This window comes from Homo sapiens, chromosome 12, assembly GCF_000001405.40.
Source record: "Homo sapiens chromosome 12, GRCh38.p14 Primary Assembly".
Taxonomy (NCBI): Eukaryota; Metazoa; Chordata; class Mammalia; order Primates; family Hominidae; genus Homo; species Homo sapiens.
In genome coordinates this window covers 3363579-3388701 of record NC_000012.12, presented here as the reverse complement: position 1 = coordinate 3388701, position 25123 = coordinate 3363579, and the positions used below count along the sequence as shown (strand labels likewise).

The 25123-nt window shown below is 44.2% G+C and overlaps 1 protein-coding gene and 2 long non-coding RNA genes across 3 annotated transcripts in view, besides 2 other annotated features; 1 reads left to right on the top strand and 2 right to left on the bottom strand.

Moving 5' to 3' along the window:
* Positions 1–7353, bottom strand: part of PRMT8 (protein arginine methyltransferase 8) — a 212625-nt gene extending 205272 nt beyond the window's left edge. Inside the window, exon 1 of the mRNA NM_001256536.1 lies at positions 7260–7353. Coding sequence (NP_001243465.1) covers positions 7260–7307 — 48 coding nt within the window. The 5' untranslated portion in view covers positions 7308–7353. The remainder of the gene's footprint in view (positions 1–7259) is intronic.
* A 9747-nt stretch (positions 7354–17100) lies between these two features.
* Positions 17101–20594, bottom strand: LINC02417 (long intergenic non-protein coding RNA 2417). The gene is made up of 3 exons (NR_146865.1): positions 20578–20594; positions 20277–20437; positions 17101–17417 (listed from the first exon to the last, which is right to left on the bottom strand). It is a non-coding gene; the product is annotated as a long intergenic non-protein coding RNA 2417 (long non-coding RNA).
* Positions 22529–23079: an enhancer, noted in NCBI's record as "H3K4me1 hESC enhancer chr12:3474789-3475339 (GRCh37/hg19 assembly coordinates)". NCBI's record gives its function as "activates a minimal SCP1, AML or CMV promoter by ChIP-STARR-seq in primed H9 embryonic stem cells {active_cell/tissue: H9 hESC(primed)}" and the evidence as "EXISTENCE:reporter gene assay evidence [ECO:0000049][PMID:30033119]".
* LOC100128253 (uncharacterized) overlaps positions 22580–25123 on the top strand; it is a 67609-nt gene continuing 65065 nt past the window's right edge. Inside the window, exon 1 of the long non-coding RNA NR_148995.1 lies at positions 22580–22643. This is a non-coding gene — a long non-coding RNA (uncharacterized LOC100128253). The remainder of the gene's footprint in view (positions 22644–25123) is intronic.
* Positions 23080–23632: an enhancer, noted in NCBI's record as "H3K4me1 hESC enhancer chr12:3474236-3474788 (GRCh37/hg19 assembly coordinates)". NCBI's record gives its function as "activates a minimal SCP1, AML or CMV promoter by ChIP-STARR-seq in primed H9 embryonic stem cells {active_cell/tissue: H9 hESC(primed)}" and the evidence as "EXISTENCE:reporter gene assay evidence [ECO:0000049][PMID:30033119]".

The window sequence follows — 25123 nt, the reverse complement described above, 5'->3', positions numbered from 1 at the left end:
GAAATCTCAGCTCTGTCCCTTATTAGCTGTGAGACATTGAGCAAGTTTCTTCATCTCTCTAACTCAGTTTCTTCATTGTAAATATGGGTCATAATAGTGTCTACCTCACAGGGTTATAGTGAGACTCTAAAATGATAATAAACACTCATCATCAGTGGATACTAAAAACATTAGACAAAACCTGATGAGGGGTATTCACACAACCTCAAAGTATCGCTCCACAGATTACTTGTTAATTACAAAGGAAAATGGTACTTCCGCAATGTAGAAACCTGGCAAACACTGCCTTAGCCAAGTGATCATAGCATCGTGAGTGATGGGACACATTGACATTTTATGCCCCCGATGGGATGATTGAGAAGGACACAATGTCACTTATGCAATATTCTTACTAACAATATTTAACCTGAATCTTTCCATGAGGAAACATCACACAAATCTAAACTAAAGGGATTTTGCAAAACAAGAAGCTTGAACTCTTCAAAACTGTCAATGTCATGAAACGGGGTTGAGGGGGAAGGCTGGGAAGTGATTCTAATCAAAGATGACTAAAGAAATATGAAAAGTAAATGCAATGTGTGATCCTCAATTAGATCCTGAATTTAGAAAAAGGGGAGAAAGACAGACAGACAGGGAGGGAGGGAGGGAGGAAGGAAGGAAAGAAGGAGAAAGGAAGGGAAGGGAGGAGTTATTGAGGAAATAAGGCAAATTTGAATAAGGATTATGTAATAGATAATGAAATTATTTTAATGTTAACTTTCCTGAGTGTGGTTATTGTATCTTAGTTACGTAAGAGAATGCTCTTCTTCTGAAGTGATGTATGCTGGAATATTTAGGAGCTAAGTCATAATGTCTGCATGTAATTCAATATATTCAAATATATTTAGAGAGAAATAAAACAAAAATGTGAAACTAAGTGTAAGAAACTAGGTGTAAGAAATAAATCAATTAGTGAAACTAGATGTTTCATTGTATATTCTTCCCAGCTGTTTGCAGGTTTTAATGTTTTCAAAATAAAGATTGGGGAGAAAGGATAATGCATGTAAAGTTCTTGGCACATAATAAGCATTCGATAAATAGTTAATAGGATATTCTGGTGATGGTGATCTCTTGATTTGATTGAAATAATTAAAATCTAAACATGTTTATTTTATGCCCACCTCTCAGTGTCTGCCTTGCTATGTGAGATGGCTCAAGCCATTAGCCCATTCTGGAGTTTAGTTTTCCCATCTACAAAGCAGGGAGACATCAGAGCCATATGTGAAATACCAAGAAAAAAGGGATGCTGAGAGGATGATAAAGTATACACATAATAAGGAAATCAAATTCCTCTCAGGAGCTGGCATAACTCAATCCATGTTGCTGTAATTATAATGGGGACATCCTCTGATTATTTGTTACCCTGGTTTATTTTTCTCTTTTGACATCCTCTTTCATCCGCTGATGAAATTATTGTTGCTGTGTGCTTTTTAAATGTTCTATGAAGCTTAAAAGAGGAAAAGCAATGCCTGTTGAAGAGAAGGCAGGCCCTATTGCATGTATAGTGCAATTCTACATACATTGACCGCATGCTTTCCTCCACCTTCCTTTGTGTCAGGCACTTGGGATGCAAAAAGAGCAATAACATTATTTCTTGTCTTTGCTTGAAGGGCTCATAGCCTATTGGAGGAAACAAACACATAATCAAGAAATTAGGCCAGGCGTGGTGGCTCATGCCTGTAATCCCAGCACTTTGGGAGGCCAAGGTGGGCGGATCATGAGGTCAGGAGTTCGAGACCAGCCTGACCAACATGGTGAAACCCCGTCTCTACTGAAAATACAAAAATTAGCCAGGCGTGGTGGCAGGCGCCTGTAATCTCAGCTACTCGGGAGGCTGAGGCAGGAGAATCGTTTGAACCCGGGAGACAGAAGTTGCAGTGAGCCACGATTGCGCCATTGCACTCCAGCCTGGATGACAGGGAAAGACTCCATAAAAAAAGAAAGAAAGAAAAAAAAAAGAAGGTAGACAAGCATATGAACACCTTGATGAACACTGTGTGGCTTGTAAAACTTAATAGGGTCACAGTAAGTAGGTATTCACTAAATCATTGTTGAACGAACGAATAGCTAAGTGGATGGATAAATGGATGGACAAACGGGCAGACAGAAGAATGAAGGGGATGATATGGAATCAACAGAAAGAATGACCAATTCCACATGGCGACTTCAGTAGGTTGGGGAAAGGTTACTTGTTTATTGATATTAGAAGTGGGCATTGAAGGACCAAGAAAATTTAATCTGGCATGAAAAGTAAGAGGAACGGCATAATGTAATAAATAATTTTTGACTTTTTAGTAAAATCTGTCCTATCATGAGGAAGAAATCACAGGAATACAATGTTAGTGATGTAATCACCTAGGTAAACCTATTCTCAATCAAAAGAGAGATGGCAGCACTTCCTGGAAGAGGAACCACACCATTTTGTTCCATGAGCATTATTGAGCATACACCATGCTGCAGGATTGCTCAGCCCAAAGACACAAAGACAGTAAGATATCGCCATGGACAAGAGGGTCCCATAGCCTGGTAGCAAGATCTTTTCTATAGATTTTTCTGTTCTGAGCTACAAAAGCAAAAGATAAAGAACAAGAGAAAAGCAGTGTGAAACTAAAAACTAGCTCTTGAGTAGAAGTCATTGCTGAACATCGTGTGGCATGTCAAATATAGAAGAGTCATAGTAAGGAATTCAGTAAATCACTGTTGAACAAAAGAATGGCTGAGTGGATGGATGGATGGATGGATGGACGGATGAACAAGTAGACAAAAGAACGGAGAGTCAGTCATGAATAGCTACAAATGAAGGCAAAATAGAAAATGTCCCTTCTTAAGAATGTGCCTACACCAAAGCTGCCAGTGGCTGGGTTCCTGGAAGCCTTGCACAGGCAAAAGAGCTTTGCAATGCCTGGAATCACTTAGAATATGTAAAAGTGTAAAGAAAGCCAAGGCTTAGATAAGGAGTTACTGAAAACAGTACTTGAGTGAGACAACGTATACTCGTTGCCATATTTTAATTTTGCCCTAGTCATATCTTTGCTTAAGAACTGTAAAGCCTAAGTTATAATTAAGACATAGCCTAATAAAGTGTTGATCTAATAAGGAGTTTTCTTTTTAGAAAAAGCAAAATAATATGGCTAAATCATGCTTTTCATCTCTTACCTCTTCTCTGCCATACATAACTGGAGTAAATGCATTCATCTTCCCTCTGTAATTCCTCCAACTGAAGGACTGAAATTGTGGGTACAGTCTGGGAGGAATCACCTGGCTTTTGAAGAATGTCTTGCTACCACTCAGAATAAATGACAGCAAAAGACAACAAAGACTTACTTTCCTGGGGAAGTGGTATGGTGTAGCAGCTTATGCTGATTCTGGAATCAGACCTTGGGCAACTTCCTTAATCTTCGTAGGCCTCAATTTCCTCATCAGTAAAATGGGGACAATAAGAATGCATATCCCCTAAAGTTGTTATAAAAAGTAAAATGATAAAGGATATAAATCAATTAGCACACTGTGTCTCATAATAAACACACAATAATTATTAGATGTCACAGCAATGAGAAATAAAAGCAGATAATTGGGAATTCAATATATAGTATTAAACTCAACCAGTCCTGGCTTGATCACTCCACTGGCTGACCTTGGAGTGAATCATAATTGGTTTAAACCAATGGCTCTCAATGAGAAGTGTTATTGCCAGCCCCCGCCCCCCACCCGCCACACCCAGGGGAAGTTTGAAAGAAGTTGTCTCCATGACTGGAGGGCTCCACTGTCACTTAATAGGTGAAGGCCAGGGATGCTAAATGTCCTTCAGTGAGCAGGACAATCCTGCACAACAACAAATTGTCATCCAACACACCAGGAGGGCCCCTGGTAAGAACTACTGGATTAAACTATTCATGGGACTCCACTCCCGTTTCCATTCTCTTTGCGAGACTGGTTTAGGTTTGGACATGGGCTCACTTTGGCCAACAAGACATAAAAGCCTGTAGGATTCTGAGAAAGATTTTCCTTGTGATTAAAAAAAAGGAGAACATCCCCTACTAGCGGCACCTGGGACCTCTGTAGCCGACTTGCAACCACGAGGGGAAAGCCCAGAGAATCACAGAGAACACCCAGAGCCCTGACAATACTGAGATGCTGAATTAGCCAACCCTGGAACTGTCTGCCTCCAGATATCTTGTTCAGAGAAAAAAATACATTTCTTTTAATTTAATCAAATTTTAATCTGGTTTAATCTATCATTTGCAGTTCAAAGTATTCAGAATAGTGTAAATAGTATATTGTTTGGCCTAAAGCAGGTGAAAAAACAAAAACAAAAACATGATCATAGCAATTGAAGCAGAAAAACATTTGACAAAATCCAATGCCCATTCTGATTTTTTTAAAGAGGAACTCTCAGAAAAAAAAAAAAAGGAATAGAGGGGAACTTGCTCAACCTGATAAAATGCATCTCCAAAAATATTTACAGCTCACATTATACTTAATGGTGAAATACTGACTGTTTCCTCCTTGGGATCAGAAGGAAGGCAAGACTATCCTCTCTTACCACTCTTATTCAATGTAGTACTGGAAGTTCTATTCAGTGCAATAAGACAAGAATAGGAAATAAAAGGTATGTGAATTGGAAAGAATGGAATAAAACTCTCCCCACTTGCATATGACAAGATTGTCTATGTAGAAAATTCCAAAGAATGCAGAAAAAGCTTCTAGAACTAATAAGTAACTTCAGCAATGTTGCAGGATACAAAATAAACACACAAAAATCAAGTATATCACCATATACCAGCATGAACACAGACACAAAAATTAAAAATACAATACCACTTACAATCACTCAAAACAGAAAGGAAACATTTGGATATGAATCCAACAAAACATGTGCAAGGGCTTTGTCTTAGTCCATTCAGGCTGCTGTAACAAAATGCCCTAGAGCGGGTAAAACAACAGAAGTTTAAAACAACAAAAGTTTATTTCTCACAGTTCTGGAGACTGGGAAGTTCAAGATCAAGGTACCAGCAGATTCAGTGTCTGGTGAGCACTCCTTTTCTGCTTCATAAATGGCAGCTTTTTACTGTGTCCAAGTGAACAAACTCTTTCAGCTTCTTTCATAAGGGCACTAATCTCATTAATGAGGGCTCTGCCCTCATGACCTAACCGCCTCCCAGAGGCCCCACCTCTTAATACCACCACACTGGGGATACCACTACATATGAATTTTGAGGGGACACATTCAGCGCATAGCAGACTTTTATGCTGAAAGCTACAAAATACTGTTAAAAGAATCAAAGCTCTAAATAAAATAGAGACACATTGCGTTCATGGTTTAGAAGCCTCAACAGAGGAAAGATGATAATTATCCCTCAAATGTATATATGGATTTAACACAAGTCCTATCAAAATCCCAGCAAGATTTTTATAGATATAGACAAGCTTATTTTAAAATGTATATGGAAAGGCAAAGGAACTAGAATAGCTAAAACAATTTTGAAATAGAAGAATAAAGTGGGAGGAATTAGTCTACTCAATTTTAAGACTTATTATATCAAAATATACAGCTACACTTACCAAGACTAGATGGTACTGGTGGAAGGATAGACACATAGCTCACTGGAACAGAATAGAGAGCCCAGAAATAGACTTGCACAAATACGCATAAGTGATTTTTTGGAAAAGCTACAAAAGTAATTCAATGGAGGAATGAGAACCTTTTCATCAAATGGTACTGGAGCAATTGGATTCCTACAAGAGAAAAAAGCTCCCTTCCCCTAAGTCCTACATGGTATATAAAAATTAACTCAAAATGTATCATGGAGTTATATACAACTATAACACTTTTAGAAAAGGCACAGGAGAAAATTTTCATGATCTAGGGTTAGGCCAAGAGATCTTAGATTTGACACCAAAAGCATGTTTCATAAAAGGAAAAATTGATAAACTGGACTTCATTAAAATTTAAGACTTTTGTTCTGTGAGAAATCCTGTTAAAAGGATGAAAAAAATAACCCACAAACAAGGAGAAAATATTTGTAAACCACATATCTGACGAAGAACTAGTATTTATAATACATAAGAACTCTTAAAACTCAACATTAAAAAAATTAGAAAACGGGCAAAAGATATGAACCAACGTTTCACCAAAGAGGACGTACAGATGGCAAATAAGAAGGTGAAAAGACATTCAACATCACTAGCGATTAGGAAAATGCAAATTTAAGCTGTTAAGCTATCTTACACACTTAACAGAATGGCTAAAATAAAAGGTAGGGCCAGCAAATGCAGGTGAGGACGCAGAGAAACCGGGCCTCTCATAAATTGCTGGTGAAAATGTAAAATGGTACGGCCACTCTGGAAAACAGTTTGGTGGTTCCTCAAAAAACCACACATGCAACAACCATATGACCCCACAATTACACTCCTGGGCATTTATTCCAGAGAAATGAAAACTCATGTTCACCCAAATACCTGTACACGACTGTTCATAGCACCTTTATTCCTAAAAGTCAAAAACTGGAGACAGTCCTTATGCTCTTCAGTGAGTGAATGGTTAAACAAACTATAGTACATCTGCAAGATGGAATACCACTCAACAGTTAAACAAAAGGAACTATTGATAACAGGCAAAACTTGGATGAATCTCCAGAGAATTATGCTGAGTGAAACCAAAAAAGTCAATCCCAGAAGGTTACATACTATATGATTCCATTTATGTAGCTATCTTGAAATGACAAAATTACAGAAATAGAGAATGAATTAGTGGTTGCCAAAGATAAAAGAAGGAGTCTCCTCTTTTAGGGAGGTGGGAGGGAAGTGGGCGTGGCTATGAAGGGCAACAGAGGGATCCTCTGATGGAATGTTCTGTATCTTGATTACTTCAAGGTCAATTTCCAGGTTACAATATTGTGCTATAGTCTTGCAAGGTGAGGGAAAACTGGGTAAAGGGTAAGCAGAATCTCTCTGAATTATTTCTTACACCTGCAAATGAAACCACAGTTATCTCAAAATTAAAAGTTTAATTGAAACAAAAGCACCAGTGTACAGTCAACAAGACTGTGGAGCCGCAAAGCCCAGAGCAGCATGTTATGAACTTAGAAACAGAGACGTGAGCAGGCTCTGCAGATGACAAAGAGGAAAAAAGCCAACAGCCCACACGGGGTCAAGATAAATTGCACTATTTCACTTGCAGGAAGAAGAAAGGAAAGAAATTACCATACAAGCTGACTTACAGAAGAAACCTCTTTCAGCTTGAATCCATCTGAAGCCAGAGACTCCATTCAACCTGGCACACATTCAAACAGCAAGCCTCCCTGGTGCAGAAATCAGGCTCTCCAATTCAGACTGAGTAAGTTGATCCATTTACTCCAAGTCAGCAGTTTGGACACATGTTTGCAATCTGAAGGCTTCCTGTGAGGTACACAGACCCTTAAAAATATTTCTTACAGAAACTTCCTGGTTTTCCATGCCAGGCCAGGCTGGAGTTGGGCTGAAGTTGTGGCTGTACATAAACAAGAGTTTTAAAGGTCGTTTCTCCAGCCAGCAGCCTGGACTGGGTTGGAACTTGAGTGTCAGGGCGTGTGGGAAACTGCTCTCAATGGGTTTTCTCAGGAAAAGATCATTTGCGTGTGCTTCCCTTGTATCAGAGAAGAAAATCCCCAGAGGACTTTTCCACTTTGCTCCTGCATCTGATGGGGGAAGAGGAGATGGCACAAAGCCCCCACCACACCCTCCACCCCCAATTCCCTTAGTCCAGGTCCTAGGAGAAACGCCAGCACGCATGGTCCTACATTAAGCCAAGCCTCCGCCTCTCCGCCTGGCGCCTTAAAGAGCTGCTCTACCCTGCACACCCTGGCTTCTGCACCGGGCCCATTTTACATGAGTCACTCCCAAAGGAGCAGTTCCCTTCCTAATGTGCTGCTTAGGCATTTCAAGGAATTCTTTAAACCACACACTAAAAACCCATAATGTTCTAATGTATTCGTTTGACCCATATCTCATGTAATATTCCCCTGCTGTTCTCAACGTCCTCTTTTAGAGAGCCTGGAAGTCTAAACACTCAACTTCCCAGCACTCTGGAGGTGGCCACGTAACATGGTTCTACCCAGTAATATGTAAGTGACAGTTTTTAGAGAAGGCACCTCTTCCGAACTAAAAAGGCAAAGTTTCAAGAAGAGAAAAGTCTTTGTCTCCTTCCTACTTACCTCCTCATCCTGCCTGTAATGTGGTTGTGATGCTGGAGGGTGCAGCAACTATGTTGCAATCATGAGGCAAGGCTTGCTGCTGAGCAAGCCCCTGTATTGTGTCTAACATAGTATTTAAAATACTCGGCACCATCTCTGGCTCATGGCAGAGCTCAACAAAGAGTAGTCTCTACCTCCACACGCAAGCAAAAGTGCAAGTGATTTGTTTTGGGGAGGAGGTAAGCCGGCCCACAGACCACTTCGTCTCTTGGAAAACTACCACGAAAACTCTAGGAATGCAAATGAAGTTTACCCAGGAAAGTTGATAAACACGCTTCCATCCTTTCCAATTCTGCAGAGCCATTTCCGTAGGGTCACGCACCGAAGATTCTGGCGCAAAATAAATAAACAAACTGTTTTGCTTTCCTCACAAGTGACTTGTTTTTGGTTTCCCTCCACCAAGCTAAGCCCACCTCTCACCTGTAGCCCCTGATGGCCTCCATGGGAATCACCTGCAGGCTGGGATCTGTGACCTGGACTTAGGGCTTTTCCTGAGGGCACGCTGGAGCTTGCTCAGGCATTGGGAGGGGAGCTGACATCTTTCAGCTGCAGGTATGTCCACTCCTGTACTCCTCACTGCAAATATGTGAGCAGGGGTGAGCATTCCTATTTGCCAAAACTACATCTCAGAGAAATAAGGAAAATATTTAAGGTCATCTGGTTGGTAAGTGAGGGGCTGAGTCCCCAGCCCAGGTTGTTCTGGTGCCAGTCCCCTTCCCAGTATGTCTCCTTGCCTCCAAAAGTATTGCTTTCTGTTTAACTTTCAGTTTCAGACTAAAAGAGTCAGGCATCTCCCCCAACATCAGGATCCCATAGAAAAGTCATTGTGACGATGGAAAGTGGAGGTGTTGTCATCACGGCTACCCAAAACCTCTGGCCCTCAGGAAAAAGCAGGCCCTCACTGTGTAGTTGAAGGGCACAAAGATTCCTGGCCCCTGACTCAGAGACCCCCAATCTCAGGAGACCCCGAGAGAGAGAGGCCACTGCAAGAAAAGGCACGCAGACTTCTGGGCCACTGCTCTTTCCAGCACAGCAGGCTCCTGTTGGTTTTCTAGATCCCAATCTATAAGCAAGCCAGATCGGGAGCCACCACGACCAAGTCCCCTTGTGGATTTTCACTCATTCATGTAACGAGTATTTCTGGCACACTTACTGTGGGCACTGTTCTCAGCACTGGAAGTGCAGCAAAGAACAACCAAGATAACATCTCGGCTTTTGTGGGGTTTATAGCCTAGTGGAGAGGAAGATAACAAGTACATAAATACAGAGAAACAAGGACATAGTAGATAGGAATGAGTTCTGAGGAGGGAATAGACAGACAGATGTCATGGAGGGTGACTGAGGAGTGCACTTTAGAATTGGGGTCAGGAAAGCGCTGTCCTAGGGGTGACATTGAAGCTGAGACCTGAAAGGATGAGAAGAAAACAGCCAGTGAAGATCGGTGGAAGGTCAGAAGCCAGGTAGGAAGACTGGTCCAGGCCAAGGGCACGCAGGGGCAAGCCCCTGAGTCAGGTATGAGCTTGGCTAAATGAGGAAGGAAAACAAGGATAGTGGGACCTGAGTTCAGTGAGCAAGGGAGAGAAGGAAGGTAAGCAACAGGTAGGAAATGCAGGCAAAAGGCAGGTCCTGCCGGGTCCTGTGGGCCAGGAGAGGGGTTTTGACTTTGTTCTCAGTACAAAGTCACTGGAGGGTTTTAAGGTGACAAGTGCCACGCTCTCACTGTAGCTTTGAAAAGATCATTCTAAATGCTGTGAAAAGAACAGAAGAAGGGCAAGAGTAAAGGCAGAGAGATGAGTTGTCAAGCCTGGGTTTTCACGAGGCTGCTCCTGAAAGGCTGTGCAGGATGTGCACTGCTCAAGCCTAGGTTTTCACAAGGCTGCTCCTGCAAGGTTGTGCAGGATGTGCACTGCCCAACTGCAGGAGTGCCTTGCACATAAACTGCAGTAGGAACAGCACCCTCTGAGGCTGTGCATAGTGAGTCAGGGTTTTTTTGTTCCCTTATGATGCTCAAAAATACTTACAACCCCTATGTACTCATATCAAAGGAACAAAACAGAAACCCCTTTAACATTATTTTCTACACAAAGTAAGACAGATTACAAATCATTATGTCCAAGACTTGATCATTGGTTACGCCATGAAGTAAATACGAGAAATAATAAAATCTAAAATAATCTTGTACTTTTAATTAACTCATGTCCATTAGAAAATATATTCTATCATTTATATAATTTATATTTGGGTTTAAACTTGCACCTAATGGTGAGTACTCACAGATAAGTTGCAGCTATTCAATGGTCAGTGGTATTTTGGTTTATATCATTGCCCAAACTGAATCAGGAAAGTTAAAAAAAACTTCCTTCATTTTCTTTATTTCATTTTATTTTATTTTACATTCTGGGATACATGTGCAGAATGTGCTGGTTTGTTATATAGGTAAATGTGTGCCATGGTGGTTTGCTGCACCTATCAACCCATCACTGCATTTTCTTATCACATATTTGTTGAGCACCTGCTATATGCCAGGCGCTGCTGGGTCCTGGGCAAAGGGAAAGCCAGCGTCTTTCCTGCCTTTATGACTATATGGTCTAGTGGCCAGGACAGATATAAACAAGAACAAACATACAAAGAAGTAGTCAAACATTGTAATATGTACTATAATAAAAAAGAACAGAGAAAATAATGAGGGGGGGTCTCATTTAGAGCATGAGGGTCAGGGTAGGCCTTCCTGATGAAGTCTCTAAAGTGGCCAAGGACCACAATAGCTATTTGCATTCTTCCACTTCTCCCCCACCTCACTCTCTTCTCCTATTGCTCTGACAAATACTTGCCCAGGGACTCACTGTCTTACCTCGGTATACCTCCCTCCCCACCCACACCCTCCAAGCTCAGCCCTACTGTCTGTGACCCTGAATGCAAGCAGATAAGCCTGGCATCCAGTATGTGCAATCACAGTGAGACAAGAGCCAGGGCGGCCCTGAGTCCCAGACAAAGAGCAGCACGAAAACTTGGTCTGACCCTTGTCCAGGCTCACAGTCCTGTTGTGACCTTGGGCACTGCCTCCTCTCTCCAGAAGTCTCATGTATCTATCTATCATGGAGAACAAAGCACACAGTCTTTGGAGTCCCCACATGTGTCCCCAGAGATTGACTCTGCTGCCCAGACATCCTTGGAGGGTCCCACAGCAGGCAGGCAGGCCCCCAGGCCAGCCTGGGAGCAGAGAGACAGAGGGCATGACAGAAAACCCCTAACCCTCAGGACCAACCGTAGGCTCTGAGCCTGGGGCAGGGTCAGACCCCATACCAAGCTTCCAAGAAGGCATCTTTGCAAAGCCTGTGTCTGGCCCCATCTCTCTCTCCCAAGGCTTCAGAAACAAATGCTGGAGACATAATGAGGGGCGTGGCGGGAACTCTGTGACTGAAGAAAGCATGTGGCTTTGGCCTCTGGGTGCTGCACTGGACTGGGCAATTTACAAAAGAAAGAGGTTTCATGGACTCACAGTTCCACATGGCTCTGGAGGCCTCACAATCATGGCAGAAAGTGAAAGTCACGTCTCACATGGTGGCAGACAAGAGAAGAGAACTTGTGCAGGGAAACTCCCCTTTATAAAACCATCAGATCTCATGAGACTTATTCACTATCATGAGAACAGCGTGGGAAAGAACTGTCCCCATGATTCAATTACCTCCCACTGGGTCCCTCCCATAACACATGGGAATTGTGGGAGCTACAATTCAAGATGAGATTTGGGTGGAGACACAGAGCCAAATCATATCAGCAGCTCAGGGGGCAGATGGGAAGGGAAACTGCTTCAGACCTGAACGAAAGGAAAAAATAAGGCACACACATGAGCGCAGGAGAGAGGCGGTCTTAACCTGGGCTCCAGATGCTGTTCTGACAACACCAACCCTGTGACAATACTTCCCTCCCCAACTCTCAGTCTCCTGATTGTAATGAGATTAGACAAGGTGACCTCTAAGCTATCACCCAGTTCTAGGATTTTTGAATTCTCAGTGAGTACTAATTTCTACAGGTGTGGTCTTCACATCTGTGCTATGCAAGAAAGGGAGTGGGGAGAGAGACTACAGGGGTTCCAGTTTGAAAAGAAGAAAGCCTGTCAGGGCAGCAGACCCCACCCTATCTTTCAACAGCAGTTCACTTGATGAAGGATGATTGAGAGCTTGACGTATTCCCAGGGAAATTTTTGGACTTCAGCACAGATGTGAAGAATCCAGGGCTATGAATGATTCTTGGGGGCTGGAGGTTGGGAGTTGGGGGCCAGCTATAGTTTTACCATGTCACACCACTGTACCCAACACCACATTTAAGAACCACTTAAATCTGCACCAGCAGCAGATGAGATTGGGAAACTCATGTTAACAATGTTACAGACTAGGCCCAAGTCATGCTGCGCACCAACAGCAGAGTGTCTTGATAATTTTATATTTATTCTACATTTATTAAGTCTGTTACTCTCTAGCACTATGCAAGTGCTAGGAAAGAAAAGACGACTAGAATCCAGCCCTTGGTCTCCAGCAGTTCCCAGCTGACCCTGGATGCGCCCAGTCAGAGCATCCACCATTAGTCCAGATGATACTTTTGTACAAATTAGGAAAGGGCCCCCCTTCTGGGAAGATGCCATCTGGGGAACACAAAGCCTGGTGCACATTATAACGGATCATCGGTCCCCTTTGCCCTTTCAGCTGAGTACCCTGGTGTAGCCTGCAATCTATGCAGCTGACTCTGGTGATTACGGTGGGCTGCCAAACTTCAATAAATGTCTAATGTATATTTTTGTTCTAATGGGATATAGATGTTAGTAATGTCTGTCAAATGGAGCACAGACCCAAAGAGTCACATGACAGTGAAGAACCGGGTAAGCTGCCTATGAGATGAGGTGAGAAATGTAAAATCCAGCCAACTTGGTGTTTACTGCAACATAAGAAAATGTAGCATGTGAGATATACTAGACCGTAAACTCAGAACAGAAAAATCAGCATTAAACGGAGACCAAGTGATAGTATGGACACAGTGGATGCTTTCATAGTTGCTGTGAGACCCAGTGATACTGCAGCAGTGATTGCACTGTGATGACTCCTGACTTGTTTAATATGCTTTAGCATTTTCATGCCTTGATGTGTGCACCCAAAAAAAAAAAATCAGTAAACAAAAAAAAAGGTTGGGAACCATCCGTCTAGTGGTTCTAGTGAAAAAGAGGTTTATACAATAATACAACTTATACAAAAAATAATTTCTGCTCCATGATTAAGTTATTCTTGGAGATGTCACATCAATAAGAACAAGTCACTTAGCTCCACCCAGAGAGTCCAGGGAGGCCAAGTTATCACCTAAAGGAGGTGATAACTAAAGCAAATTTTGACGATTGAGTAGGAGTTCACCAAGTAGCCAGGGTGAGAAAGGGCATTATGTCAAGCAACGGGAACCAACTGGGCAGATGTGTGGAAGAAAGGACAAGTTTCGTGTACTGCACTGCAAGCCCTGATACGGACTGGAGAGGAAACCATCAGTAACAGAGTGTCACGAGGTGAGGTGAAGCCAGCTCACAAAAGAATCTTAGCGATGTGGCTCTGGTTATATTCCTTCCCCCAGATTCAAACCACCACCACCACCACCACCACCACCACCACCAACCCAGAAGAAAGGGTAAGAATTTTCCTAAGATACACGTAATGGAGCCCTCTTTGGGCTCAGCAAAATGCCACAAGCCTTAATCTTTTAGCTTGGGTTGAAAATGCATTACACTAGCTAGGTATTTGGCAGAAATACCAAGGACCAAGTTCTGCTGAGTAGAAGCCTGTATTCAGGATCAGCTACCTAGTTTGTGTGACCCAGTACAAAATGGAAATGTGGGCCTCTTAGTCAAAAGCAATTAAAAATTTCAAGACACCAACAGCAGAGCATTAAATGAGGGCTGGGCCCATCTGAGTGCAGGCCCTTGTGTGACACACACACAAACAGCCTTGTCTATAGTTGAGGGCAACCAAGAGGCCTTATTAGAGCATTTTATTGGAATTGAATTGATTTATTTGGATGAAAAAGGAAGACAGACAGAGAGAGAGAGTGAGAGGCCAACTCAAGGCAGTAAAGATATCCTTTTTGAAGCTGAACTTCCAAAGTGTTGTCCTCTCAACCTTTCCCTAATAACAAGAGGGAGCTGCAGTATATCAGCCCTCCACAACTGTCCAATTTGTTTCAGTTCCTATGTCATTGAAAAATGCTTGCATATTTTGCATGCATTCTTCTTAATGATATATCAGTGTTTATTTTGGTATGAAAAGTATCATTAGTAAGGTGACTGGTTCTGAGATAAATATACAAAAATTTACATTTCATCATGGATCAAGGGGTCAGATAGCATACTAGCTTTCATACCCCCACCTACTGAAAGTCCCATCAAATAATAGAAATTAATTGTTGAAAAAGAAATAGAGTTATATTGTTGCTGGAAATTAAGGAAGGATTCTACCTGTGGACTAGAAATATTAAGGATGATTTTTTTTTTAGAAATAGGTTTGAATTGATTTAAAAAAAAAACACACAGAGAAGTAAAAAACAAAAAACCCTCAAGCCAAAATAAGTAGGATGAACTACACAAGGCAAGAATAGCTCTAGAGCACCCCAAGTAATGAGTGATAAAATCCATGTGGAAGAAAGAGCCTGGGACGTCAGTGTTATCAGGTGAATAGTTCAGAACCACTGGGCCAGTCAGGTCTATCCCCTCCCAGACCTCCATAAACACAGAGCAATTTGTAGATAGCCTCCCAGGCTAAAGCTGTTGTCACTGCTCTCTGAAAGGAGAGCTCTGACTCAACAAATCCTGTGAGGTGGGGCCAACAGGCAGAGTAGGACCTCAGGTGACGTGGGCTCCCAAGAAGGATATAGTCCCCATCATCAGGGTCATGCTACACACAGACCCCACCTGTACAAGCACTTCCCCACAATCACTGGGAAGAGCAACAGTAACTGGTATAGGCAACAGGGATTTCCGTTTGAGTCCTGGAAAAGCTTTGTAGTTAGGTATCACAGCCTCTGCAATAGCTAGTTTTTAAACATTTTTGAGCTCTTCCTATGGTCAGGTAATTGATGAATTTATAAGTGTTGCATTATTGAAAAGAACATAAAATCTCTGATAAGTCAAAATGTTTCTTTTATGTAATTATTGGTCCGTATTTTTATTTGTATTAATTTAAATCTTCTTCAGTGCTGTCCAATAAAAATATAATGAGAACCACGTGTTATTTAAAATTTTCTGGCATCCACCTTAAGTAAAAAGAAACTGGTAAGATTAATTTTAGTAGATTTAACTCATCTAAAACATGATATTTTCAACATGTAATCAATATTTTAAAATATTAATGAGCTATTTGACTTTATTTTTTCATACCAAGTCTTGGAAATCCAGTGTATGTTTAACACTTAGAGCACATTTCAATTTGGACTAGCCATCTCTGAATGGTCAATAACCTAGTGACCATTGGCTGTACTACGTGGCTAGTGGCTACTACATTCAACAGTGCACCTGTAAATCCTTGGTTATTTTTTATCTACTTGCGCTATCATTTTTCTTTATACATTTTGAAGCTGTACACAAAGGTTCATGAATGGACAAGAACAAAACAAAAAATGTCTTCTTTGACTATCAATTCTTTTTGGCTTTGAATGCATTTTATTTCCTATTAATATTGGCACAACTTTTTCTTGGTGCTAGCATTTCCTGGGTTAATGTGTATATATTTTTCATTAATTTGTTTTGCAACTTTCCATCACTTTCTTTTTGTACGTGTCCTTTTGAAGAACATATAACTGCATTTTGTTTTGTTACCTAGAGACTTGCTATCTTTTAATGGAAATATTAACCAAATCGTATTAATTCTAAATATTGGTATATTTGGACTTACTTTTTCATATCCTTGTACTTTTTATTTGCTGTGCTTTCTTGTTGTTTCTTTTCTTTTTTTCCACTCCTTACTTTTGCTGGATTAATCAAGACTTTCGGCGTTCTGGTTCCTTTTCTTTTCTTTTGGCAGTTTAACGTTGATATATCCTATTTGTATTCTTTTAATAGTTACCTTTTTTTCAGCAGAAGAAAGCAAATAATTTCCAATGATATGTGACTGTTGGTTGATAACTATTTTAGTTTGTCCTTTTCTGTTAGTGTTACCTTTAATTTTGACTAACTTTAAGTTACACATATATTTTCTACTTGTGAAAAAACTTAAACATTACAAATGTGGTCAAATTCCTCTTTGAATACATCCCCAATACAAGTCCCTTCTCAAGAGATAATGGCTATATTTAAGTTTAAAATATATTTTCTGACTCTCCTCTCTCTCTTTCTCCCTCTATGTATATATACACACACGCACACACGTATGTAGCATGTATGTGTGAATGTATGTACATATGCACCTATACATATGTATGTGTGTGTTTGCGTCCATCCACCAAAAGAAATATTTTCTGTGGCTCCGTTTCTGAATGTATCCTGAAGAAATAGTTGAATAAGTAGGCAAGTATATATATGAAAGAATGTTTCATAACCACATTGTAAAATATTTTAAAAATTAAAACCATCCTAAATATTCATTAATAGGGGATTGATTAAACAAATCATGGTATATCAAAATATTGCATCAAAAATGATGTAATATATTCTTATATCCATTGACATAAAAAGACGACTAGAATATATTCTCAAACTTTAAAAATTCAAGTTACAAACACACACTGACACACATACACATCATCAAAAGGATATTCACCAACATATAGCAAGACAGTGATTCCTTCCAACAGATAAGATTCCAAATGAGCTTTTACTTTCTTCTTTAATATTTTATACTGATCAAATTTTCTAAAATGAGCACATATACATGTTACACTTTTGAAAATATTTGTAAAAACATTACAAAGGTAAAAACCTTATTCCCTTCTTTCCAAAAAATCTTAAATAAAATCCATGTTCCAGGAAAACTTGTGATGTTTATCCAAAGGCTTCTCTTTCTCCCCAGCAGGTGACCTTGGATCCAGAAGACCTGTCCACTAGTTACAGAAGCAGGTTTTTGAAAACTTCCTGGAGATGAGAGAGGATTAGCAGTATGTGCTGCACGTAGCAGAAATCTCCAGCTGTAAATATTTAAGTGTCATTTCGGGTGTTATTTATATATTTGCTCAGCTGTCTGTACTTATGTTATCTGTATCCTAGATGTGTTTTTCTATGTTTTGCCTTAGCTAATGCTCTCCTGGGAAAGAAACAGTCTGTGAAGTCCTTCGCGTAGAATGCCAAGAGAGCATGACAAGCAGTTGGACATTTGAGCAATGCTTTTGACACTCCTGATGAAGATCAATAATTATTTCAAGCACCAATTAGTGCAACTGATGTTCTTAGTGTCATTGAAAGCATGCCTGAGAACAGCTGGAAACCTCCTATTTCTGGTGTAATATCTTTCTCATGGGAATTACACCTGAGATTGTGAGGTTCAATTCTACAGTCATTTCTCTACCCCAGGTATTGTTGCAAAAATGAGCAGCCTCAGTCATCAAGTTCCTAGTCAAATGCAGATTGAACTGAAGCTAATTCAGCTCATCAACATTTAACCTCTGGTCATTCCTCAGTCCTGCTAGAAGAGAGAAAGGTGCTGACGAGAGGCTTTTTAGCTCTATTTTTCACATGGATGAAGAAACCAAGGCCAGTTTCCATTCTCTAAGACTGTAAAAAGAATCCTAGGAGGAGTTTCTCCCCATTTTTTATTGTATTTTATTGTATTTTACTTTATTTTATTTTATGTATATATTTGGTTTTGGTAAAGACGAGGTCTCCCTGTGTTTCCCCGCCTGGTGTCGAACTCCTGGGCTCAAGCGACTCTCCTGGGCACATGGCTCATGTGTAATCCCAGCGCTTTGGTAAGCCGAGGCAGGAAGACCTCCCCATTTTAAAGATGGGGAAGCGGGCCAAGTCAGACAAGCTGTCTCTGATCTGTATGCTGAGGGCATTGTTTCCTGTCTCCAAGAACGGAGCTGTTTTTCCCAGGAATGGCTCTGTCAAGAGTCTATACACAGAGTACTTTTATTAAGGCCACATCAGGACAGCAGCTTAACCAAGCAGGGATGTCAGGGAGGCAGGAGTAGAGGTTGTCAAGGGAAATTTTGTTATCTTGCAACTCTTCTAGGCAGTGGCCAGAAATTGTTTTGAAAGACAGGCTTATGCCCAGGGGACGGAGAAATCCAAGTGTTACAGCTCCTGACCTTGAGGGTTTATGTACAACCTGAACACTAAGCTAATGTGCCATGTATCCTGGGGATGCCAACAATAACAGGTCAGGCTCCTCCATGCCATGCACGTGTGTGTGTGTGTGTGTGTGTGTGTGTGTGTGTGGTAACCATCCTCAAAACAAAGCCACAATTACCATGGTATTTTCTGTGACTCCACTTCTAGGGATGGTTATAGATACTGCTGCTGCATGGTAAGGCTATCAGGCCCTGTGCTGGCATGCAGGAGGTCTCACAAGATCTATCCTGAACCTCCAAGTAGCAAGAGATGTAGGCCATTTCAGATAAAAGCAAGGATGCCTAAGTATTATTATTTTTACATTTCTAAAGGAGTATCTAGAACGTCCCTCACTCCTGCATCCCATGACAGATCTCTCCCATCAGATATAAAGGCAGGCAAATGGTACCAGACTGTGGACTGAATGCAGAAGCTGCTGGCACCCAGCTAGGGACAGCAGATGAGCTACAGGCCTGGCTGAGAGGCACCCGTCTCCAAATCTGGGATTTCCCTGGTCCCTCCTATTTTTCCAAATAAGGAACTACTCTCCCAGTTTGCAGATGCAGAAAATGAGGCCTAGATATAGCAGCTGCGTCCACCTGTTTGTGACGCAGCCAGTGCCCAGAGCTCAACGGAAACTACTAAGATGAGAGTTTGTGCAAGAAAGAGTTGCCCCGTGCATTATCACAGCGCACTCTCGGTTCGCTCTTTGGGGCACCCAACCTGACAAATAAACCTCGTTCCTCTTATGAACATAGAACAAAAATCAAAACGGGATACTTCCAACTCATATCTCATCTCCTTCATACCATTTCTAGTCCAAGCCAAAGCCCCATTTCCCTATTCATAGATGGACTCTCAGACTTCTCCCTCGTCTTCTTCAAGTGAGTTTTGTGAAATGAGATGGAACAGATGAGGATCTTTTTAGTGGTACAGCACTGGGGGCAGGCAAGCCCATTCCTTCACAGAAAATCAGGACAAAATAAAAGCCAAAATCCAAAAGTCTCAGAATTCCAATTCTAGACCTGTGTGGTCCGATCTAGTAGCCACTAGCCACATGTGGGGCCACTGAACACTGGAGAGGTGCTCCATGCAACTGAAGAGCGGGGTTTTTTATTTCATTTCATTTTAATTAACTTAAAGACTGATCATTTTATTCTGTTATTAGAAAGCATAGGTATATATGGGGCAATTTAGGTTTGTAAATGAGCTTCTTCAACCATCAATGTTATGAAATCTAAGTACAGATCGGGTATTTCCAAAGAAAATTTAGTGTCTGAACTTAGATGTGCAATACAGGTAAAATACACACCAGAGTTGGAAGACTTAGAAGGAAAAAAATGTACGGCTCATTATTAATTTTGTATATTGACACATCAATTTTAATGATATATTTTATTTAAAACATATCTAAAATATATTGTGTTAAATAAAATACATCATTGAAATTACTTTCACCTATTTCTCTTTTTTTTTACGTGTGTAAACATGATTCCTGGGAAATTGTTAATTGCATATTCTATTTTTGTTGGTTCACTACCCCAGACGTCTGACGTTCCCAGGGATGGTGCTGCAGAGGGAATATCCTGGTCCAGAGCTCCATTCATCCCTCGCCCTCTCATGTTGCTAAAAGGTCCCTCTAGACCATTTTCCAACTTTCTCTTTCTTCAGTACTGTTTTAATATTACTAACTTCAGGGAATATCAGCTTCCCTTCACCTTTATCTCACCGACAGCGTTGCTCTCCTCTGCCTCCTGGCTTTCGAAGATCCATCTTCTGCTACGAAAAACCCTCGTCTTCACTCCCCATTCTCAATGTTTTCCTTTAACACCACCTTCTCCGGCTTTTTCTGACAATTCCTATCTCTTGAAACAGCTTCCTTGGAGGTGGAGGGGAGAGGCATCAAATCACACGCCTACTCCTTCCTGCCTGTCTCCCACCATCACCCCTTCTTGCTCCTGCTGAGTGGTTCCCACCTCTGTTCTTCCCTCCATCCCACCTTTTCTCTGTTTCACTCACCCTTTCTCGGTGCCGCAGGATCTCAGGTTGGATTTCTAGGATACAGACTCTGCATGGAGATGGAGATCAGCCTGCAAGGGGTCTACTGGGGGCCTGACCAGCTCATGCTCCCCAGACCCGGCAGGCCTCCCTGTGGCGTTCACTCTGGCAGCAGGCCCGAATGGCTAGGTTGTCTCAAGCCACCTGTGCCCAGGTTGCTGAGCTGTTCCAGGCATTCCAGGAGGTCTACGGGGAGGCGGGGGGGCTTACCCCCATAGACCTCACTCACCTTGAGAGAGTGAGGAAAACAGGATTAGGCAGAGACTGAACTTGAACTGCGTTGCTTTCCACAGAGGCCTCGTCAGATCCCTCTGGAAGCTGTGGCTCTGGGGAGGCCCTTCGGAGTCCCCGTGAAGGAAATCAAAGAAATGAACCTTTGTGTCCCTGGATCAACCAACTGGATCCAGGATCCTGATGCCCCCCAAGGAGTGGCAATCTTGTCTACACAACCCACCACTCAAATAATTCTCTTGAAAGCCCCCAGAGATCTCCTGATTTCCAAATCTAAACCTGTTTTCTTGGGCACCTCCTTCCTGGTGTCTCTGTAGCCCAGGCCCCCACTGAACATCCCTCTTCTCCTGAGTTCTTTCACTCTGCACAGTCCCGACCCTCCCACATTGTTTCTCTCATGGGCTCCTTCCCCTCCTTAGACAGCTTCTGTCTTCAGCCCTGTTCTCTCTATCTTTTCTACCCTCTCGCTCCATTTCTTCTCTTGTCAGCCCAACTTCTTTCCAGATGATTCCAAAAATCGCATCTCTTGCCTCAGCCTCTCTCCTAAGAACCACAGGTCATTCCCACTGCATTTGCTGGATGTGTGCCCCTGGAAGAAGGTGGCCTGCTTCTCAAACCCGGCTTGCCCCACACGAAACTCAACCTCACATCACTCCAGGTCTCCTCCAGACTTCAGGTTTTTACCCCCTCACCCCCAGCACACTCCTCCTCCTGCACCGCGCACAGCAAGCTCTGGGGACTCCTTCGCGGCAGCTTCTGCATTCAGGTCTTCATCTCAGGGGACTGTGGCTGTCATCTCCTTCCCGCATGGCCCTGTGCGAAGCCTTTCCCAGCGGTCAGCTGCGGCATTGAGAGCACTGGTGCTCTGGGGCACAGTGGCGTGCTTCGCGTTCCCTGCCCCCCAGTAGCGGCCTCCCTGACCTAGCAACCTGGTATATGGATAACCCGGCTCGCTGCAGTCAAGTTTCAAAAGAACATGGTTGGATAAGCACAAGGCCACCGTTGCTCTGGGAAATAACCCACAATGCACGCCCCACTGCTAGGACAGACCCACTTAGGGACAGCTTTGCACCTCCACTGGGTGCAGGCAGGGACAGCTGGGCCCTACCGTCTACTCTTTTTGCTCCAGATTAGGAAGAATCTTGATTCTCCCTGAGCCCAGGGAATGCAGGGCCGATGGTCCCCAGGACCCTGAGAGGGACAGGGCAGTGATGGGAGTCGCGGGGCGGAGGATGAGGGGAGGGGAGGAAGGGGGCGTGGGGAAGCTCTATGTCATCAAACCTTGTCCCTAAAGTCCCTGGGAACCCCCAGGAGCCAACCTCTCCCAGGGGCCGACCTAGGCAGGAGACAGAGGGATCTGAGAGGGCGGGTAGGGCGGGGGCTGGGGGCTGCGGAGCGCGGGGAGGTTTGAAAGCCGCTGCGCCGCGGCTCATCAAGTCCATCCCTTCCCGCGCTCCCCGCAGGTTTCCCGCAGACAGTCGCACAGTACCCCTCACTCCACTTAATTCGCTCCGCGTGCTCTGAATCACAGAAAGGCAAACTTGCTAACAAAGAGGCGGCCCGCCCGCGTGCGGGGTTCCCGGGCGCGTCCCGCTGGCCAGGTGAGGACGGCGGGCACTGGGCACCGCAGCGGGGCGCGGGGCGGGCTGGAGGCGCGCGGACACTCCCCCGGCCGGCAAGGAAGGGGCGGGCCGAGGCGCGGGCCGTGTGCCGCTGGGTGGCCCTGCGAGCCGCCGCTCTCCGCCTCTCTAGGCTCAGCTTCCATCACCGCGTGGCGGAGCCCGTGTCCGGGCCAGGTGAGCGCGGGCGGCTGCGGCGGGAGAAGCGCGCCCGCGTGGGGTGGGGCGCCGGGGGCGGGGGAGGGAGGCTGGGGGTCCCGGCAAGGCGCCGCCACCTCCGCCGCCCGCAGTCCCTGATGGACCGTGGCGGGGCCGGCGGGCAGGGGGACGCTGGCTGCGGATAGGGGTGGGGCAGGCATCCCGGGGGAGTCGCGGCGCGTGGGAGCACGCGTTGGTGTGTGCAGGGGCCCGCAGCAGGGGGTCCTTAACCACACGCCTGAGTCCGCCTTCTGCACTTGTGCCTTGGGAAGAGCTCTGGGCCTCTGGGGGCCGTGTGCCCTCCCGGGACATGGCTGTCCCTCTTCAAAATGTCACTCTCTTCGCCCACCCTGAATTCCAGTAGCTGCCTCTTGTGCACAAGCATAGCCGACAGGCTCAAACTCGGCTTAGCTAGATGTGGACAGGTCGTGGCTGCCTGCCCCACGCAACACAGAGTCTGCTAAATGCAGGCACCTGCTGTGTGTGGTGCACGTTGTTCCCAGTGGGTCAGGCTGCCTGTACAGGGAGGTCCTGTGTTCCCTGGGCACGTCTGTGCATTTGTGGCAACATGATTATGCAGGCCCTGTCACCTGTTTGTGTGCCCATCCCTGCACATGCAGCTGGCTGGCTCCTATGAAAGGAGGAGGGTCTGGAGGTTTTGGGGTGTATAGCTTTCCTAGGCGATATGTGCAGTGTTAACGTGTGCATTGGCTGGAAAGTGTGAAAGGGAGGCGGCTCAATTGGGTTCGGCCGGACAGCATCTTAACATAGGTCTCAGCTGCTGTGTGTACAGGAATAGTGTCCCAGGGGTCTGCAGTGTGTGGCAAGTATTCTGAGGTGGGGTTGTGAGAAGAGGCGGCTTCTGAAAAAAGTCCTAAGTGCACTCTGGGGCATCGGGTGTATGCAGGCGGAGGGTGGGGTGGCAGGAGAATGAGGGTGGTATTAGGCCAGGGTGTGTTCGATTTGGGGGCAGCTTGTAGTGGAAAGCAGCAGCTGGAGTCTGGAGACCTGGATTTGAATTGGAACTTAGTGGTTGTCACTGTGTCATTCGCTTTGTTGCCTGGAAAGGTCGTCTGGGGCTCAGTTACTCTGTGTGCAAAATGGGACTGATAATCACTGGCTTATCTCCCAAGGAGGCTGGAAGCTCCCATTGGTCAATGCCTGAAAGTGCTTTGGCAGCAGTAAGGTTCCCAGGGCCAGGGGCACTGCTGGGCCACAGGTGCAGAATTGGTGGTCTGGGGAGTGCTTGGGTGGCCTGGAGCTGTTTGGTTTGTGGATAGTAGGCGAGCCATTTGCAGGCTGCTTCCTGTCATATTCAGCACAGCAGGAGTGTCTGACTCTTGCGTGTAAAATATGTATAGACCTGTGTAGTTTCTTATAGTTCTTGTATGAATGCCTTCTATAGCACAGGAGGAAAACTGGCTTTGCTGTCTTTAAATCGCCCTGGAGCACTTTGCCTTTCCAGAGAGCCATCCTCCAGATGAACCAGTGGGCTTATGCCCACCATCTTGCTTTTACCTTTATGCCAAATGAAGCAGTAAGGAACACCCTCCTGTTTGCAGCCGGAGAGATAGGAGATGAAGAAGCGTTCCCAGCCAAGGTCACAGATCTAGGGTGTCAACTGCAGGCCTCTGTCTTTTGCGGTATAGAGCCTTCAGATCCAGAGCCAGCCCTGGCCCCAGCTGAGGAGGGGAGGGGAGGGGAGGGAAGAGTCACGCCAGACAGCACCAAACAGCAGGACATGGTTTGGTGGTTTATCTGCCCTTGGATGTCACCTGTCACTGATAATTTTTTTTTTTTTTTTGAGATGGAGTGGGATTACAGGCGCCCGCCACCACACCTGGCTACTTTTTGTATTTTTAGTAGAGAAAGAGTTTCACCATGTTGGCCAGGCTGGTCTCTAACTCTTGACCTCGGGCGATCCACCTCCCTCAGCCTTCCAAAGTGCTGGGATTACAGGTGTGAACCATTGCACAGGGCCCACTGAGACATCTTTGTATGTGGTAGCTGTTTAGTAATGTCTGTGAAAGCGAAGAGCCCTGGGTGGAGGATGCTGGAAACCCAAGTCAGGTCCCAGCTGTGCCCCTGCCCGCCATGTCCTGGGGAAGGTTGCTTTGCCTCACTGGGTCTGCTTCCTCATTGGTCCAAAACAGGGCATCTTTCCAGATTGTCATTCTGATCTCAGCTTGTGTTTCACTTCCTCAGAGAGGCCTGTCCTTATCCCCATCTAAAGTGGCCACCTCCTCGTCACGTTCACATCACTTCCGTGATCTGTTTCCTCTGTGGCACGGGCCACCCTTTCTGAACTTCCCTTTGCCACGTCCTACTACAGTGTGAGCTTAATGAAAGCGGAGACTGCGTTTGTCCTGTCACCTGCTGGCTCACCAGCACCTAGACACAGTAGGTGCTCAAGAAATATGGTTGTGTGAATGAGTGAACAAAGAGGTTAACAAGGGGCT